This window comes from Homo sapiens, chromosome 1, assembly GCF_000001405.40.
Source record: "Homo sapiens chromosome 1, GRCh38.p14 Primary Assembly".
NCBI classification, from domain to species: Eukaryota; Metazoa; Chordata; class Mammalia; order Primates; family Hominidae; genus Homo; species Homo sapiens.
The window spans coordinates 86,891,312-86,911,761 of record NC_000001.11 but is presented as its reverse complement, the minus strand read 5'-3'; the positions used below and the strand labels follow the sequence as shown (position 1 = coordinate 86,911,761).

At 39.6% G+C, this 20,450-nt stretch overlaps 1 protein-coding gene across 4 annotated transcripts in view; it reads left to right on the top strand.

Annotated features, from left to right (window-relative positions):
• The window catches only part of SELENOF (selenoprotein F), a 52,133-nt gene that overhangs the window by 2,816 nt on the left and 28,867 nt on the right, over window positions 1-20,450 (top strand). For all 4 annotated transcript variants that reach the window (NR_144513.1, NR_144512.1, NM_203341.3 and 1 more), the window contains exon 2: window positions 8,314-8,481. Coding sequence is in view for 2 of the 4 variants with exons in the window: in NM_203341.3 (NP_976086.1) it covers window positions 8,314-8,481 (168 nt within the window). In the remaining 2 variants the exon portion in view is untranslated. The remainder of the gene's footprint in view (window positions 1-8,313; window positions 8,482-20,450) is intronic.

Below are 20,450 nucleotides of genomic sequence, written 5' to 3'. Positions count from 1 at the left end.
TTTCACTGTCTGAATTCAATTAGTCGTTAAAGCCTTAAAAATCTCTAAGCCAGTCCACTTAATAATTTTGTTTCCACAGTTAGTATTTATATTCAGGCTACTATCTTTGCCTAGAATTACAACAGCTTCCTTAACTAGTCTCCCATCTCATTATTTCATTTCCAATCTCTACAGTGCATCAAGTGATCTGCCTAAAATTTAAATCTGTCATGATTAAAACTCTTCAGTGGCTGCTTATTGTTTTTTAAGGTGAAGTCTGTCTTCCTCAATGTTCCTTAAGGAGGCACTTGTTTGTCTATCCAGGCTTATTCCCCAACATTTACTTCTATTAGGAGAGCAGAAAGGTACAAGTGGAGAATTGGCATCACTTGTTTAGCTTATTTCACATACTGTATTCTCCCTCACCAGACCTTTGAGCATGGTGTTTTCATTACCTACAAGCCGCTTCCCAGCGTCTCATCCTTTCCTCCCTTTCTCCTACCCTACAACAAAAATGGCTGTCTTCTACTTACTCTCTTTCTGTTCTTAGTAGAGAAATCACTTCCTCCAACAAAGCTTCGCTATCCCTCAAGTTTGGATTAAGAGTCTTTCTGTGTGCTCCAGTGGTGATCAATATTTATTCTCTGAGATACGTTCCATAGTTTTCTTTAATAATTTCTTGTTCTTTGGCATTCTCCTACCCACTCCCAAAGGGAAGTACCCTGTCTTTCCTGTTGACTGTTTTATCTCTAGTGACACATATACAGAGTAGTACTATACTTGATGTATAAGTGAAATGTTTGATGAATGAATTAGAGAATCCACAAGCAAAGGTCTGAAAACCTGGAAGTATGAAATCTGTTTGGAAACTATTAAAATCAGCTTCAGTTACCTTCATAGAGCTCTATTATCAGTGATCCCAACTGGAGGTGTGTAGATGAAAATTGTTGGGAGGAGGAGAGATTAAAAAATACATGTGCTTGGACTCTGCCTTAGATATGATTCAAAAATTTGTGGTAGCTGTGCAACTCTAGCTGGTAAGTACATGTTAGACTGAAACCTTTTTTTTTTTTTTTTTTTGATATGGAGTCTTGCTCTGTTGCCAGGCTGGAGTGCGGTGGCATCATCTCGGCTCACTGCAACCTCTGCCTCCCGGGATCAAGCCAGTCTCCTGCCTCAGCCTCCCAAGTAGCTGGGATTACAGGTGCACGCCACCACGCACAGCTAATTTTTGTATTTTTAGTAGAGACGGGGTTTCACCATGTTGGCCAGGATGGTCTTGATCTCTTGACCTCATGATCTGCCTGCCTCAGCCTCCCAAAGTGCTGGGATTACAGGCGTGAGCCACCGCGCCCAGCCAGACTGAAACCTTTTGAGGCAGGAATCAACTTACTCATTTTTTTGTGAATGTGACCCCCACAGGATGGAACATCCTAACTTACCATCAAATAAAACTACTGGGTGATCAGCCACAGCCACACCATTCCACCAAATATTCCCAAAGACAGCCATCATACACAGCCTTTTTCTCTCAAACTCTGCCTATTGAATTCATACTCATGACGTATAATTTAGTGGGAAGTACACTACTTTAACGAAATGTATTTTTTAGTTTTAACTTCTAATAACTGACTAAGGCAAATTAATTTACTCTTGGCCTTTGTTTCTTTATCTCTTTCTCCCTGAACTAAGATGTTTCAATAGAATGCAAAGCTTAACTCACATTCCACTTCCAGACTTGCAAAGTTAGATGTAATTTCTCCCTTGCATATTGTATCATCATACTTTTTTTTTGAGACGAAGTCTCGCATTGTCACCCGGGATGAAGTGCAGTGGTGCAATCTCCGCCTCTCGGGTTCAAGCGACTCTCCTGCATCAGCCTCCCGAGTAGCTATGATTACAGGCACGCGCCCCCACGCCCAGCTAATTTTTTGTATCTTTAGTGGAGACGGGGTTTCACCATGTTGGCCAGGCTGGTCTCGAACTCCTGACCCTGTGATCCACCCGCCTCAGCCTCCCAAGGTGCTGGGATTACAGACTTGAGCCACCACCCCTGGCCTTGTATCATCATACTTTATACTGTATTACACAAATCCACATGGTCTTAACCAAATCATAGCTCTGTGTGTGTGTGTGTTAGTATCCCTCCACTCCTCCTGTCCCCGTGCCAATTAGAATGTAGCCAAAGAGAATACAGGGACCATTTTTATTTTATATTCCCTTCGTTGTGTCTCATATGTATTTGTACATTTAAATCCCTCTGAAGCGTAAATGGCCCCAGTTCATTTGTGTTGTTGCTCCATGCCATCAAAGTCATCAGGATATTTGCAATTTGTGTAGAGCAGTGAGGAAGCCCAACCACTCTCAAAAATACAAAAATGACTCAGAAAAGAGAGAGTGCTGGACAATTCACCCTTATTGAACTGTTATAACTTCCCTAAGGTTTATTCATGTCTCTTCTGTAGTAACTAGTGCTTTTAAGAAAAGAAAGCAAGAAAAACCTTGAAAATGAAAAGGAGTATAGATAATTGTTGAAAAAACAGTAAGAAGTTGGAAACTGCATATGTCACAGTTAGCCCAAGGGGAAAAAAAGATCAGGTGGCATAAGTAGTTGGCAGTAGTGAAATCTTTGGAAACTTCCATAGGAATTAAAGGGGGATGAGGGAACAATTTCTTGACACTTTGAGATTGAGATACTGCTATGGATAAAACTGTCATTGGGACTGCACTCGTGTTTTGTTAATTGATACCTCTGAGTTTCTTATACTTGACAAGTTGAGTTTTTATCACTGTCTACTCCTCTGAATAGCTTTAATTTCAAGTTAATAACTGCATATTTGTCAATATTTCAGTGAGGTAACAACTGGATATAAAGTGATTTAATCTGAAAATACATCGAGTATGCTTAAATAAGCAATAGAAAAGTGATATTTTAGTACAGTCTTAGGGAGCTGTTTATTAACGCTCCCCAGAACTAAGTGATGATATTCAATCCTTCATTCAGATCATGTGTAATATTTTCTCATTCAAAAAGGCACTACACTAAAAAGCAGTATAGAATGATAATTGTGTATCATTCTTTCTGAGATGCCCCCCACTCCATTTCTTCACAGGTTAATATCTCGCTGGGCCTTACGGATCACACAGTTAAAATCGTTGGTGCTTTTGTTATTAGTGGTACATACGATAATGGTGTATCATGGATTCTGTGAAATATGGTAGTCAGTAACAGTGGTTAGGGGCATAGAGAGCAGGCCAGAATTAGAATCTTGTTGCTGTCATCTCTTGTTTCCTGTGTGGTCTTAGACAAATTACCTTAACTATCCTAAACCTGTTTCTTTCTTTATAAAATGGTGATAACAATACCTTTTTCACAAGATGGTTTAGATTAGATGGAATAATAATGTAAAGTACTTAACAAAATATCTGCTGGTTTATAAAAGCTTGCTGTAATGGCCATGTTTCTGGTATTCATTTTCATGGAGTTCATTCTGTAATCCCATCTATTTGCTTTTGTCTCAGATTTGGAGTTTGCTCAGAATTACATGAGAAACCTCTGAGTTTCCTGAAAGTTATAAAGACCAGTGAAGAGACAACGAATATGTAGGTGTAAGTGTAACAAAATATATAGCTAGATCAGATTTTTAAGGTAATGGTATAGTACAGTTAACCCAGTTTCTCTGCTGCCAACTCTCTCATCTAGAAGGAACTCATTAATACTGGAAAAATAAAACAGTGAGTAATGCATGGAGAAGGAGGGAATAGAGCCTTGGTTTTTTTTTTTGTTTTTTTTTTTGAGATGGCGATTCACACTTACCGCCCAGGCTGGAGTGCAATGGTGCAATCTCAGCTTACTGCAATCTCCGCCTCCCGGGTTCAAGCGATTCTCCTGCCTCAGCCTCCTGAGTAACTCAGATTACAGGTGTGCGCCACCACCCCAGCTAATTTTTTTTGTATTATTAGTAGAGACGGGGTTTCACCATGTTGGCCAGGCTGGTCTCAAACTCCTGACCTTAGGTGATCCACCCACCTTGGCCTACCAAAGCACTGAGATTATAGATGTGAGCCACCGCATCCAGCTGAACCTCTTAATTTGTCAATTCTGCTTTGAAATAGAGAAAGCTAAATGGTTATCCTAGCCAGGAACCCTGTCCTTAGAATCTTTGTCTTTCTTACAAGTGTGGCTAATTAATCTAAAATTTAATATTTGATCTTAATGTGCAAATTTAAATGCCAATCAGTTACTTTTGGCAATAAAAGGATGGCAGGAATAATATCAAACTCTCATATATTAGCATTTATCTGTCAGGTACTTAAAAATACTTTCTGATGTCCTTAAATTCAAAGCCTTAAGTCTGCAAAACCAGTGATAGAACAGCTAGAAAAAAGTAGTTTACCTAAGAAACTCGATACTTTGTATCTCCCCTATACTTATCTTTTATCCCATGTCTAGTATAGTGATAAAAACATTTATATAGTGTTTTGTAATTTTTAAGTGTGCTTTCACAGTGGAAGGTGAGCCTAATACCAACATGTATTCAGTACCTACTGTGTACTGGGCGGGATGCTAGATGCTTTCTGTGCACTTGCTTCTTTAATCCTCAGAATTCCACGAGATAAATGATAATACTCCCTGTTTAGAAATAAGGTAGCTCTGTGATGGCATTTGAATCTAGATGTGTGTTAAGACTTTGAAATACATGATGTTTTGCATAGTCATGCTACCTGTCAGTAGGTGCTCCATAAATGCCAGAATAAAACCAAATAGTATAATTGCATGATTATTCATTTGAGGTTCTTATTTTGTTGTTTAAAAGGTTTTGGTAACAGTTTTATACGTTTGTTAACGAGTTCACAGTTTCCAAAGTGATTTCACTCTTATTGCCTCTTTCAGTAACTATGGCTGCAAAACAGAATTACCCTAAAATTTAGTGACGTAAAACAATTGATTATTTTGCTTTCAAATCTTGTGAGTTAGCAATTCTGACAGGGCACAGCAGGGATGGCTTGTCTGTTCTATGATGTCTCAGACCTCAGTTGAAACACTAGGGCCTGAAATCTGAAGGTGGTTTACTCACATGTCTAGTAGCTGATACTGGTTGTCAGCTGGAGTTTTCAGTTGCTCTCTACATGGGCCCTTCCATGTTGTCTCTCTTGTATAGACTTCTTTACAGCAGGTTGGCTAAGTTCCAAAGTTGATGTTCCTAGAAAGAAAGAATACTAGCCAGGCAGAGGCTGTTTGCTCTTTTACGACCTACCCTCAGAATCACATAACTTCCTTTAAACTCTGTTGTTCAGAACAGTCATGGCCCGTGCCCAGATTCAAGGGGAGGGAACATAGACCCCACTTCTCAGTGGAGGACTAACATTGTAAGAACATGTGAAATGATATGTACACATTGATGCAGCCTTTGATACATATTGATTGTCTTGTCTTTGGAAAACACAATCTGCTCATTGTTACATTTGATTTTCAAATTATCCTGTGAAATAAATGAGGCAGATCACTTTACTGATGGAGAAATTACCCAAAGTACTAGTATGGTAGCAAGTGTCTTATAGTTAAACTAGAGAGATCAAACACACAAATTAACCAATAAAGTCACAGTTCCCTCCCACTAGGCTGGGATGTCTCATCTGTTTTGAAAAATTATACATATGACATTATTACAGAGATAAGATTAAAGATGTATAAAATATCACGTCAGCATTTTGGGTGAATATGCCAACAAGTACTTAAATTTTCTTTTCATTGGGAAATGCCACTGGATATTAATCTACCTGGTGAGTTTAGAAAAGGATTGACACACTGCAGCTGGTGGGCCAAATTCAGTCAACCCAGTTTTTGTAGAACAAATTAACATAACAAAATGAAGCAAAGTTTCATTGGAACACAGACACATTCATTCATTCATGTGTTATCTGTGACTAGTTTTTGCACTGCCATGGCTGAGTTAGATAGTTGTACAGAAACCATATGGCCACAAAAGCCTAACAAAATTATCTGGCCCTTCACATAAAGTTTGCATACCCTTAGTCTAGAAGATCAGTCAGTTGCAGTCAATCTGAAATTTCCCCTACCTGACGCTATGGCTTTGTGCGATTTATTTATCCAACAGATATATGAAAACTGTCACAAGTGAGGGAAAGACAGAGAAACAACTTAATGCTTGCCTTCAGAAGAGTTCATAGTATTGTTGAGGAGTCAGATTTACATAGTACAGTGTCACGAACGGTACTGTTTTACAACTGTGCACAAGTTTCTCGGAGAAGAAAAGTACTCTGGCTAATGATTGAGATCTGATTTTTTTGGTCAGTGAAAGCTTCCTAAAAGACTAATACTGATTAGATTCTTGAAAATAAGTAAGATGTTACAAGGTGAAGAAGTGGAAACAGAACCTTAAATATAGGGGAGACTGTGAGCAAAAGTGTGTTTGAGTAGGGCTTTTATACTTCAAGATACTATAGGAATTCCTTATAGCAGGAGGAATTGAGGAAGTAATGAGAAGTAGCCTTGGCAGTGAGCATTTAAGCCACTGAGGCAGGAAAAGACTTGAGAGCTTTTTAAGAGAATTATAAAAATATATTAATTGGTTGTGAGAATGGTGAAGAATATGGAGTGTAGGTCAGTAGGATGACTGATCTGGGCAACTAGCTTGTCAGAGAAATGATGCCATTTTACTAAGATACTGAATACCTTAGGAAGAATAGATTTAAGAAAAATATAAGTTTCAGTGTTGCAGATTTTGAACTTGCAATGCATATTCAACACCTAAATGTGATATTGAGTGGACTGTTGGCTTTGGAAGCCTGACATTCAAGAAAAATACTTGAGAGTTTTCAATAAATGCATATCTGAAGCCATGGATAAATATGCAGTAATAAATAGAAGGCATGTAAAGCTAAGAGAGAGCCAAAAACAGAACTGTGGGAAACAATAGCATTTAAGAGATGCATAGAAGAGAAAAGTAAAGGAGGACAGGCCTTTGGACGGGGTAGTTGAAGCAGAACAGTTTTGAATGCCTTTGCATTTGGTAATTTTGGGCAAATTTTGTGGAGTAGTAGGAGCAGAAACCAGGCTATATTAATGAGTTTGGGGTGTTAGGAAAAAATAAAGATAATAGAAACCAAGTTATAGTAACAATTCAGAAATGACAGAACGTGGGAAGAGCAGTTAGGACCATAGGGCTTAAATATAGCTAAAGGTTGAAGTATTGATGAAATGAAGTATCTGTTAAGATAGAATCCAAAGAGGAAGTAGAGGGATTGGCCTTAGACAAATGGAGGTATACCACATTCACTGATAGGTAAAAAAGAATGGATGAGGGAAGGGAATATTGTTGAAAGCCTGCTTTTGTCAGCCATTCTGATTGATTAAATCATCTCTGATTTAATGTAACGATTTATGTAAGGTAACCATAGCAATCTGTTTTATGTAGGAAGTATTGCCCCTTAATTTATGAGTGAGGAAATTAAAGCTTAGGGAGGATAGTTTGCCCAGGGTCACGAATCTTGTAACTGGTGGCACTATTACCTAAAACCAAAAGTTTGAATTCTGGCGTGCTCTTGCCTGCACCATCCCCTTTCCCGTCCTTCTTCTGCTGGATGTGACTGTAGATAAACCCTACAGCTAATCTTACTCCATAGACCCATATGAACAGATGTTGAGTTCTTAAAATGAAACAAAAATTATTTTTTCTTATAAGAAAATTCCTTTTTAAAACAATAAATCTTTAAGAAAATATTTATGTGATAAACATCATGAACAATGATATGCCTTTTCTTCTTAATCCATATTTTAGCTAAGCTGAAAGATGATGGATGTTTAAGAAAAAAAGCTTGTAGGGGAGGTGGGAGAAACCAGACTATTACATAAGGTTACAGAGTTTAAGAAAGAATTTATTGCTGGGCGAGGTGGCTCATGCCTGTAATCCCAACACTTTGGGAAGCCAAGGTGGGCGGATCACGAGGTCAGGAGATCAAGACCATCGTGGCCCCCGTCTCTATTAAAAATACAAAAATTAGCTGGGCGTGGTGGCATGCGCCTGTAATCCCAGCTACTAGGGAGGCTGAGGCAGGAGAATCACTTGAACCCAGGTGGCAGAGGTTGCAGTGAGCCGAGGTTGCACCACTGCCCTCCAGCCTGGCGACAGCAAGACTCCGTCTCAAAAAAAAATAAAATTAAATTAAAATTTAAAAGAATTTATCTCCAAATGAAACATTTCAGTAACTTGTCTTCAATGTGTTAGTTTTTGACAACCCCGTGTTCTCTTTTTGGAAAGCTTTGTAGTATAAATATGGAATTGTGTTTTATTTCCCATTTTTTATTTTCAGGTGTCTGCTTTTGGGGCAGAGTTTTCATCGGAGGCATGCAGAGAGTTAGGCTTTTCTAGCAACTTGCTTTGCAGCTCTTGTGATCTTCTCGGACAGTTCAACCTGCTTCAGCTGGATCCTGATTGCAGAGGATGCTGTCAGGAGGAAGCACAATTTGAAACCAAAAAGGTACTGTTTTCTAGTATATTCCTTCCATTGGATGGTTTAGTTGAGATAAGGTAAAAATGTAAGTTGCTTAATCAATTTAAGTGTAAAAAAGCCTCTAAGCTTTTACATTTTTTAGTAAAACTCAACTGATTTCTTGTCTGGCCTATTAGTTCAATCAAAGCAAATATGAAGGAGAAGTATGGTTGCATACCAGGATCCCATTCCACCATGATTGTCAAGCAAAGGGGAAGTAGAATCCCTATAACATGCTTTGATCCTGTAGTTCTCCAGTCTTCCTAACTTCTGGCCAAATGAAGCCAAAAAATAATAGGTGCTTTTGTTCATTTATAGTAAGAACCCAGTGTTGGATGAAACTTGAAATGAAAGTAAAGCACATAATACCTGGCACTTAATTGTCTACAATAAATTGTAACATGAAATCTGGTTAAAAAGAATATGGACTGTTAGTTTACACACCTATTGCTAGTAATTTGAGACACCTAACCTCACCTTTAACATCTGAAAACAGAGCCAAGGATAGGTAGTTCAGTCTCTCCAGGTAAACCTACTATGTTTTAAAACCTGCTGTTCAAACAAATTAATAGTGAACTTGCTCATCTTTTAAATATTTTCATCAAAACTCTTAGATTTATTTAAATTATAAAGTAGACTGGAAAGATCATTTGAGTTGTCCAGTTAAAACTAAATTGGTAAGATACCTGTGTTTGTAGTGAGAAAAAAATGTTAGCATATTTCTGTTGTTTCCTTCCAGTACTGTCTTTGACTTGTACATGCTGAATTCTGTTTGAAGTATTATGGTTTGTAAAGCTTTCAGGCATAATGATGTGTTATTATTATTGGTAGTAAAGGTTTGTTTTTAACAGTAAGTGCATTTTCGGAGTTCTAAAAGAAAAACAAGCAGGCAAGCTTTGAAATGTTAGTATTCAGCCAAAATTTAACCCTTGATTTCTCTGTATCTGAACCTGAAATTCCAAGTATCTCAAAAATGGCTTGCAAAGCCTTACATGTTTTTCACTTTACTGGTTCACATATACCAGTAAAACATTTTAATGTTTAGAAGATTTCTTTACATATAAGTTATTCTTTTTCTTGCATGTAAATAAAATCTAAACAAGTTTTTAAAACTTGATTTTAAATAGATTTAAGACATACAACTTAACTAGTTTAGTAGACCTTTTGCTGCCCCTCTGTTCTTTTTGCTGAGGTATTCACATGGGACAAATTGCTGAATAAATCTGTATGAGCCATCCTCTCCTTATCTTTAAGCTGTTCTATGGGCTGTACTACTACTCAACCAACATCCTTTTTCACTGAAACACCAAACTCAGAAGGACTGAAGAACAAGGGGCATTTTATAATAAACAGTGTTTACCACACACACCCCCTTGTGATTAGGGTAAATTGAGAGGTCTGCTATTTGACAACAGATATGCCAAAACTGTAAACCAAATGCATGTAAAAGCTATTTTTACTTACTGCCTTTTCTTAGTAGTTCTTCATAATACCCCAGTTTTTTGGTATAATTTTAGTAGAACCAAACTTGCACCACAAACCTCTAAAATTAATTATATTCCTATTCAATTTTCATTATTAATGGAGCTATATGTTGTATCTTGACACATTTCAGCAGTTGCAGCTCAGCAATAAAAGTAGATCTGCCAATTAATATATGCCCAGCTAATTACAAGCTGGAGTGATTATCGTATCTAAGTACAAGTAAACCTGTCTTAATGCATCTTTTACACTGAATCCAGTGTTTTTAACTTTGCTCCTAGCCCCTAATCTCTAAGATGTACTTTTTATTAGCATTGACTAGCACTCTTTGCACAAAACTGGTGAATTTTTTTTTTTTTTTTAGTAAGACTAGTGAAACCAAAACATAGCAAAAAACACTTAAAAAATATTACTGGAAATATAAAAGTATGGTATGTTGGGCAATCCTCCCATTTAGATGCAAACCACATGCAAGTATAGAAATAGTGCTAGATTTAATCTATGCAATATTGTTCTCTGGATTTTTGGTACATGATCATGGATAACACAATATATATAATATACTTTTCTGTGTCACTCAACTCTGGCTTAAGGCTTAATTTAAAATCACAGTTTAATTTAGTTGTCAATAAAAGTAAAAGTCTAATATGTAGACTAGTGCCTTACATTAAAAATATTTAAGTCTGGGCAACGTGGTGAAACCCCGTCTCTACAAAAAATACAAAAATTAGCCAAGTGTGGTGGTTTACGCCTATAGTACCAGCTACTCAGGAGCCTGAGGTGGAAGGATAGCTTGAGCCTGGGAGGCAGAGGTTGCAGTGAGCTGAGATCATGCCACTGCACTCCAGCCTGAGCAGCAGAGAGAGACCCTGACTCAAAAAAGATACATATATTTAAACATAGCTCTGTGTGTGTGGAATCATCGTGAGCATAAATTCTTTAAAAGTCAACTCGGGTGTGATGGCTCACCCCTGTAATCCCAGCACTTTGGGAGGCCGAGGCGGGCAGATCACAAGGTCAGGAGATCGAGACCATCCTGGCTAATATGGTGAAACCCCATCTCTACTAAAAATACAAAAAATTGCTCTCCCCACGGTCTCCGTCTCCGTCTCTGTCTCCGTCTCCCTCTCCCTCTCCCTTTCCCCACGGTCTCCCTCTCCCCCTCCCCACGGTCTCCCTCTCCCCACGGTCTCCCTCTCCCTCTCTTTCCACGGTCTCCCTCTGATGCCGAGCCGAAGCTGGACTGTACTGCTGCCATCTCGGCTCACTGCAACCTCCCTGCCTGATTTTCCTGCCTCAGCCTGCCGAGTGCCTGCGATTGCAGGCGCGTGCCGCCACGCCTGACTGGTTTTCGTATTTTTTTGGTGGAGACGGGGTTTCGCTGTGTTGGCCGGGCTGGTCTCCAGCTCCTAACCGCGAGTGATCCGCCAGCCTCGGCCTCCAGAGGTGCCGGGATTGCAGACGGTGTCTGGTTCACTCAGTGCTCAATGGTGCCCAGGCTGGAGTGCAGTGGCGTGATCTCGGCTCGCTACAACCTCCACCTCCCAGCCGCCTGCCTTGGCCTCCCAAAGTGCCCAGAGTGCAGCCTCTGCCCAGCCGCCACCCCGTCTAGGAAGTGAGGAGCGTCTCCGCCTGGCCGCCCATCGTCTGGGATGTGAGGAGCCCCTCTGCCTGGCTGCCCAGTCTGGAAAGTGAGGAGCGTCTCTGCCCGGCCGCCATCCCATCTAGGAAGTGAGGAGCGCCTCTTCCCGGCCGCCATCCCATCTAGGAAGTGAGGAGTGTCTCTGCCCGGCCGCCCATCGTCTGAGATGTGGGGAGCACCTTTGCCCCGCCGCCCCGTGTGGGATGTGAGGAGCGCCTCTGCCCGGCCGCGACCCCGTCTGGGAGGTGAGGAGCGTCTCTGCCCAGCCGCCCCATCTGAGAAGGGAGGAGACCCTCCGCCTGGCAACCGCCCCGTCTGAGAAGTGAGGAGCCCCTCCGCCCGGCAGCCGCCCCGTCTGAGAAGTGAGGAGCCCCTCCGCCCGGCAGCCACCCCGTCTGGGAAGTGAGGAGCGTCTCCGCCCAGCAGCCGCCCTGTCCGGGAGGGAGGTGGGGGTCAGCCCCCGCCAGGCCAGCCGCCCCATCCGGGAGGGAGATGGGGGGGTCAGCCCCCCGCCAGGCCAGCCGCCCCGTCTGGGAGGGAGGTTGGGGGGTCAGCCCCCTGCCCGGCCAGCCGCCCCGTCCGGGAGGGAGGTGGGGGGTCAGCCCCCCGCCCGGCCAGCCGCCCCGTCCGGGAGGTGAGGGACGCCTCTGCCCGGCCGCCCCTACTGGGAAGTGAGGAGCCCCTCTGCCCGGCCAGCCGCCCCGTCCGGGAGGGAGGTGGGGGGGGTCGGCCCCCTGCCCGGCCAGCCGTCCCGTCCGGGAGGTGAGGGGCGCCTCTGCCCGGCCGCCCCTACTGGGAAGTGAGGAGCCCCTCTGCCCGGCCACCACCCCATCTGGGAGGTATGCCCAACAGCTCATTGAGAACGGGCCATGATGACAATGGTGGTTTTGTGGAATAGAAAGCGGGGAAAGGTGGGGAAAAGATTGAGAAATCGGATGGTTGCCGTGTCTGTGTGGAAAGAAGTAGACATGGGAGACTTTTCATTTTGTTCTGTACTAAGAAAAATTCTTCTGCCTTGGGATCCTGTTGATCTGTGACCTTACCCCACAACCTTGTGCTCTCTGAAACATGTGCTGTGTCCACTCAGGGTTAAATGGATTAAGGGCGGTGCAAGATGTGCTTTGTTAAACAGATGCTTGAAGGCGGCATGCTCCTTAAGAGTCATCACCACTCCCTAATCTCAAGTACCCAGGGACACAAACACTGCGGAAGGCCTCAGGGTCCTCTGCCTAGGAAAACCAGAGACCTTTGTTCACTTGTTTATCTGCTGACCTTCCCTCCACTATTGTCCTATGACCCTGCCAAATCCCCCTCTGTGAGAAACACCCAAGAATGATCAATAAAAATAAAAATGAAAATTAAAAAAAACAAACAAACAAAAAAAAAATACAAAAAATTAGCTGGGTGTGGTGGCACACACCTGTAGTCCCAGCTACTTGGGAGGCTGAGGCAGGAGAATCGCTTGAACCCGTGAAGCAGAGGTTGCTGTGAGCCGAGATCGCACCACTGCACTCCAACCTGGGCGACAGAGCAAGATTCTGTCTCAAAAAAAAAAAAAAAAAAAGAAGAAGAGAAAGTCAGAGTTTATATAGAATGCTTTAGCTATTTGTACATAATAAAAAAATGTTACCAGGACATTCATTTTTGGTTCTTAATTAGTTGGATGCTTTATATAGGTCTATCTAAGGATGAGACTCATTTTTAGTAATGGTCACTTTTTCAACAAACTGAATTTAGACTTTGATAGCCAGAGGCATAAAATTTTTGTTAGAAATTATTCCCAAAGAAGCAGAAAATGTCTTTGAAACCCCTTGTCATTCTGCTGATTGATATTCCACTATTTTTATTTGGTCTCCCTCCCTTCCAGTTTTGATCATAAAAGACCTACTCAGCGTCTCAAATACAAGCTAGAATGAGATTTTTGATCAGTTATTTTACTACTGTTTTAAATGGCTTTGCTCACAACCCGGGTATAATTTACAGACATTATTGGTAAGGATGTTGACTTATTGTAAAAATCATAACTAATTTGTAGCTTGAAGAAAATGTAAACTAATGAAACAAAACGTACTTAAATTTTAGTACTGTTTTTGTACAGTTAGTATTTACTAAGGAATATAAGTGACTTCAGCTTTATATATTGAATCTTTAGAAGGGTAAAGATACCCAGTCCAGTTGAGTATAACTCTTCCCATTGATCTTGTTTATGAACTTCCTTGTCCAACCATTTTAGCTGGTTTAAGGAAAGTAGTTAATCTTTTGACTCATGGACTCCACAGTTGAGCAGCAACCTGGGAGGAAGGAGCAGCTAAAAATTGGAGACTGACAGGCTCTTGCAGCCTCTTTTTTGCTTTGGCATATTCTTTGTCTCACTACTGACTGGCTTTCAAAAAATTTTTTTGAAATTTTTGACAAGGATTGTTGTTTGTCCTAGTTGGATCACTAACCACTTATTAGCTAGGGTTGTGGAATAATGCAAGAACCTGTTAGCTGCATAGTAGCTATGTAGAATGGTGTATTGGAAAGCAGACAGATGAAGCAGTTCTCAGGTAAAGAGCAGAGCTAGGTACTAGGTAAGCAGTCCCCTAGATATTTTATATCTTTATTCCTCAATTACTAGAGTAAACCACTTCTACTTTAGATGATTTAGAAGATTTAGCTCAGCTTCCCATCTTCTTAGACTTCTCCCCAACCTTACACACCACCAGTATCACTCCCAGGTTATGTTAGCTACACTTTTGTATTCCCAAAACACTTAGGGATACTTTGATTTACACTATATTATATCTATTGTTTTGCTTTTCTTTCTCTCCCAAAAAATAATGCTGTTGGATTTTTTTCCACCCCTCCCTGCACCAAGACGGAGTTTCACTCTTGTTGCCCAGGCTGGAGTGCAATGGTGCCATCTCGGCTCACCGCAACCTCCACCTTCTGGGTTCAAGAGATTCTCCTGCCTCAGCCTCCCACCCGCCACCACGCCCAGCTAATTTTTTGTATTTTTAGTAGAGACAGGGTTCCATCATGTTGGCCAGGCTGGTCTCAAACTCCTGACCTCAGGTGATCCACCCAACTCGGCCTCCCAAAGTGCTAGAATTACAGGCGTGAGCCACCGTGCCCGGCCTGCTCTTTGATTTTTTTTTTAAATGTTTATGAATCTCCAGCCTTTAGCACACAGTATTTCATAAGTTCTTGCCCTTGAATAAGGCTGTTTTTACTAAGAACAAGTTGGAAAAGGTGATTTTTTTAAAAGCTATGTTGAAAATATACATAACTTCATAGCTACTTGATAAATATCTTTTTCATATATTTCACTTATATCCTGAAATATATTTTTAAAAACTGAAAGAATAAGGAAACTTGTCTCCATGTTGGCAGTTAGCCATTGGTAACACTCTTTGGTTATAATTATCTAACTACAAATATAGATCTCCCGTTTCTACATTTTACTTACAAGGATGCCATAAGCATCCCAAATCTATCTAAAAAGAGATAATGTTAATTATTTAGCACAACTTTTTAGTGATTCCAATTTGACCACTCACCTTAATAGGTATTTTTTCAAAGTATACATGACCATCAGATTAAAATTGTTTCCTGGGATTTTCTTGGGATACATATAAATATTTTTTCTGTTAGAATTTTTGAACTATTCACTATTTTCTAAGATCTGTAAGATTAAGTGTAGTATTTTAGTGGGTTAAATAAGTGGGTTATTTTTCTCATCTTTTTATAATCTTGCAAATTCTGTGCACTTGAACTTGCTTATGGCTGCTGGATGCTTTTTTTCATTATTTCCTTAATCAAGGTTCTTAATAATGATTTCAGCTGCTTTGAGATGTTATTTTAGAACTTTTTTTTCCCTAACTATATCCGCCCCTCCCCCTCCCCCCCTCTTTGTTTTGAGACAAAGTTTTGCTCTTGTTGCCCAGGCTGGAGTGCAATGGCAGGATCTCAGCTCACTGCAACCTCCCAGGTTCAAGCAATTCTCCTGCAGGTTCAAGCGATTCTCCTGCCTCAGCCTCGCAAGCAGCTGGGATTCCAGGCACCTGCCAACACACCCGGCTAGTTTTTGTATTTTTAGTAGAGATGGGGTTTCACCATGTTGGACAGGCTGGTCTCAAACTACTGACCTCAGGTGTTCCACTCCCCTCGGCCTCCCAAAGTGCTGGGATTACAGGCGTGAGCCACCGCGCCTGGCCTATATCCCACTATTTCTTTAGTTAGTACCTTTTCTTTTTTAGATCTTGGTTTCCCAAGGTCCTTGTAGTTTCTTTCTTCCTCCTTCAAAATATTTTGATATAATTGGTTTTAGCATTTTTAGTCTTTTGCATTTACACTTGCCTTATTTCTGAACTACTATTCTGAAGGTCAAGCTGGTACCAAACCAGAGCACCTCTGGAGATAAGAATTCACTTAGCTGAATTGCTTATCTGTGTGAAATAATAAACAAATTATTTCAGCCTAATTTATTGTTCAGTTTTGATTAAAAACAAAGAAGTTTAGACTAATGGTTAAGATAGACTATAGAACCAGACTGTCTAGATTCAGATATTCTCTGCTACTCAGCGAGTGTTCTTGGACAAATTACCTGATTACTGTGTGTCTGTTTTTATAACTATAAATTGGGGATAATTATAGTTCCTGTCTCATAGGGTGATTATGAGGATTAAATAAGTTAATATGCATGCACTGCTTAAAATTGTGTCTAGCATATAACAAGTAGTAGGTAAATACTTGCTGCAGGTGGCGATGACAGCAGCAGCAGTAATAGTAGTAGTAGTAATCTGGTTTGCTGATGATAAAAGCCAGAAAGAACAGAAAATTTGGAGAACTCAGAATAGCATGATAATAATTGCTATTGACAAAGTAGGGTAAAAGAAAATAGATATGAAATATAAACTATCAGATTTGCCAGTGTTAAAATTTGGAGCAGTATCTTTTATTCCACTTTCAAGTTCCTGGATTAGTCGAATCAAGAGGAAATATATTCTTACAGAATTAGTATGAAAATTTTTACTATTTATAACTACTTGTATGAAACCTAATACAGAAATAAATTATGTCAAACACAATCCTACTTTCAAATTTTTAAGTCCTTTCAACTGACACATTTTAAAAAGGAAAATACTACAAATTTTCCACTTTATAAATGTGTGCCGTTTTGATCACTTGAAAATGTATGAAAGATTGCATTTGGAGGAAAAAAGGTTGTGCTAATAAAAAATGTCTCAAGACCAATGTTAAAGTGGAGCTTAATTTTCTTTGGTTTTTTTGTTTGTTTGTTGTTGTTGTTGTTGTTGTTGTTTTAGAGATAGGGTTTCCCTCTGTCACCCAAGCTAGAATGTAGTGGTGCAGTCATAGCTCACAGCAGCCTCCAACTCCAGGGCTCAGGTGATGCTTCTGCCTCAGCCTCCCAGGTAGCTGGGATTATTGACATGCGTCATCACCCCCAGCTAATTTTCTATTTTTGTAGAGACAAGGTCTCACCATGTTGCCCAAACTGGTCTTGAACTCCTGGCCTCAAGCTATCCTCTCCCTGGGACTCCCAAGTCACTGGGATTACAAGCATAAACCAACACACCCAGTTGTCCAGGTAGAGCTCAATTTTCTATGACAAACCTAGTCAGAAAATTGAAGGAGACTCATATTTTAAAGTCAGTTTAGAATAAAATATATTATTTATTGGTTTTTACTATTCAGATGACAGATCAGGAGGAAACCATGATATTTTTAAAATTAGAAGTAACATTATAGCAGAAAATAAATTGAGCTATATGTTTGTAATATAAAAATAATTATTTCATAAAAAAACAAAGCAAGCTATCAAACAAATCGCAATTATTTCAAATTTTTCTACTAATATTCTTCTCTTATTTATATGTGTAACCTATCACCTGGTAACAGATTTCAAAGGCTTAAGAAAAATTGGGAAGAGAAAAGCTTAAAAGTAATACTTAAAAAAAAAAAAAAAAAACCTCCAGGTTGAGAAGAGATTTATCTGAGTTTTAGAACATCTTGGTCCCCTTCACAAAATACCAGTAGAAGCATAGGCTGCAGATCACCAAATCATGCCATTACTTTTTCTGGCAAATAATTCAGCAGGTCAGGGATTTGATAAAAGCCTTTTGTTTTCACTTAAAGATCTACTTTCCAGATAATAGGAAAATAATAAAAACACTTATCTTCAATATTAATCTTATTATACTAGAATTGAATAAGTGGACCTAAGCAGTGTATAACATAAATTTATGAATATAATTGGATGCCCTCCACTTCCCACTCCCATTTCCTAGTTGGAACTAGACTAATTTAAGTCACCTGCTTTATATAGTAGCATTATCATTTTTTTATATGTATTACACTCTGCCTTGATATTTGCATGCACTCCAACAGGCCAGAGACAGTACAGAAGTAATATTAATTAACATGTATACCTCATTAGAAGCTTACCTCTTTCTCTCTTTTTATAAGAATTGTTGAGAGAGTTTAATTTTCTATTTATTTGTTTGTTTATTTATTTATTTATTTATGAGACAGTCTTGCTCTGTCACCAGGCTGGAGTACAGTGGTGCAATCTTGGCTTACTGCAACCTCTGCCTCCCGGTTTCAAGCAATTCCCCAGCCTCAGCCTCCTGAGTAGCTGGGACTACCGGTGTGCACCACCACGCCCGGCTATTTTTTTTTTTTTTTTTTTGTATTTTAGTAGAGATGGGGTTTCACCATGTTGGCCAGGATGGTCTAGACGATCTCCTGACTTCGTGATCCACCCACCTTGGCCTCCCAAAGTGCTGGGATTACAGGCGTGAGCCACCATACCCTAGCCGAGAGTTTAATTTTCATCTCAGCTTCTTACTGACTTTGTGATTGAGCTAGCACATTACTCCAGGATCTTCAATTTTGTCATAATTACATTACCTTACATTAGTGTTTATTTTACACTGGTTATACGCTAAGTGTTTTACCTACATTATCTATTTAATCCTCACAACAACCCTATAATGTAAATACTATTATCCCTATTTAATAGAAGAGGAAACTAGGGTATAATCTGCCTACCGTTAACTGGCGATTAGATGCCAAAACCTGGTTTTATCTCAGGTCTATTTGATTCTAGAGCCCCCAGGTTTTTAAACCTCTGTGCTATTTTACCTTTTATTTTGAAAATGTTAATAGTAAGACCTGCTTCGGAGTTACTTTAAGAAGTTGAATGAGTTCAATATAAAACACTGGGCTGTCTTTCTGAAGGCCCCTTTTGCCATTTGTACTTAACAATATTAATAATAGAATTTCGTTACTAGTTTTTATTTAAAATTACCAAATCCTTATTTCTCAGTTTACCACAGACTTTAATGGCTCCTGTCACTTGGTGTTTTTCAAGAATATGTTCCCAAATTGGGCTTTATTTAAGGCCCAGCCAGATAATATTTTATATAAATCATGTAATTTTTCTTAATTCGGTAAAAGAGCATCAAAACATTTAGTTGTTTTCAATTTGCGTGGCTATTGTGTAGCCAGTTGCAGTTACTCATAAGTCAGCTTAAACAGCATTATTTAAGACAATGGCAAATTTTAGGCTTCAGGCTGTCAGAAAGAGAATGCTACTGATGTGTAAAACATAGAAGGATGAAATGGAGGTTAAGCTAACTGCGTGAAATTGTAGTCACTAAAGAAATTTCACAGTTGCTTAAAATAGCTTCACTTTTGTCGTGTGTCTGTAAGCATCAGTACATGGACTGGTATCTTCAAAGCAAAAATCTAAATGTCTTTAACATATTCTAATTATAATATAAAAGCATTATTCACAAAGAAGGTTTTTTAAAACATATGAATAATGTTTGGCAACAGTTCACATTCAATGTAAGAATCACTAAGACTCCTGAGTAGCAGTAATACTAAATAATAACATAGGCCGGGGGTGGTGGCTCACACCTGTAATCCCAGCACTTTGGGAGGCAACGTGCCGGGGGGGTGGATCATGCGGTCAGGAGATCGAGACCATCCTGGCTAACATGGTGAAACCCCGTCTCTACTAAAAATACAAAAGAAATTAACTGGGCATGGTGGCGGGCTCCTGTAATCTCAGCTACTCCAGAGGCTGAGGCAGGAGAATCGCTTGAACCTGGGAGGCAGAGGTTGCATTGAACCGAGATCACGCCACTGCACTCCATCCTGGGCAACAGAGCGAGACTTCATCTCTAGAAAAAAAAAAAAACTAAATAATAACATAAATGTTTATTTAATAATAACCACTAACATTCATTAAGTTGTTATCTGAAGGTACTGTTCCAACCACTTTAAATGAATTTATAGAACCTCACAACAACTCGGTAAATTCCATTATTATCTTTATTTCGTAGTTGAGTCTTAGGCATAGAGATCTTACCTAAGATCATAGAGTGAATTAAGTATCAATATATGTTTCATGTATTTGTATAACAGAATTTTAAGTTTATTTTATGAAGTTATTTAATTGAACCCAAAATATTATTTAAAATTTTTTTATATCTGCTTTTAATATGAAATATAAATGCAGTCAGTTCTTTTACATAATTACAAATTAGGATCAGATTCTATCTAAACATATTACAACTTTCTGCCACATTTGCAGACTGCAATGCTCAAAACGAAAATAAACCCTTAAAGTAATTCAAACTGCCTTACAACTGCATTTCCTAGACATACCCACCTCAGAATCAAAATAAACTTTCCATTTATACACTAAATATTTCTTCCTGGGTTAAGATCAAAGAAAAATAAGACTCCTTGTCTTCAAGGAGTAGAAAAAATAGGCATGGAAGCCAGGTGTGGTGACTCACACCTGTAATCCCACCAC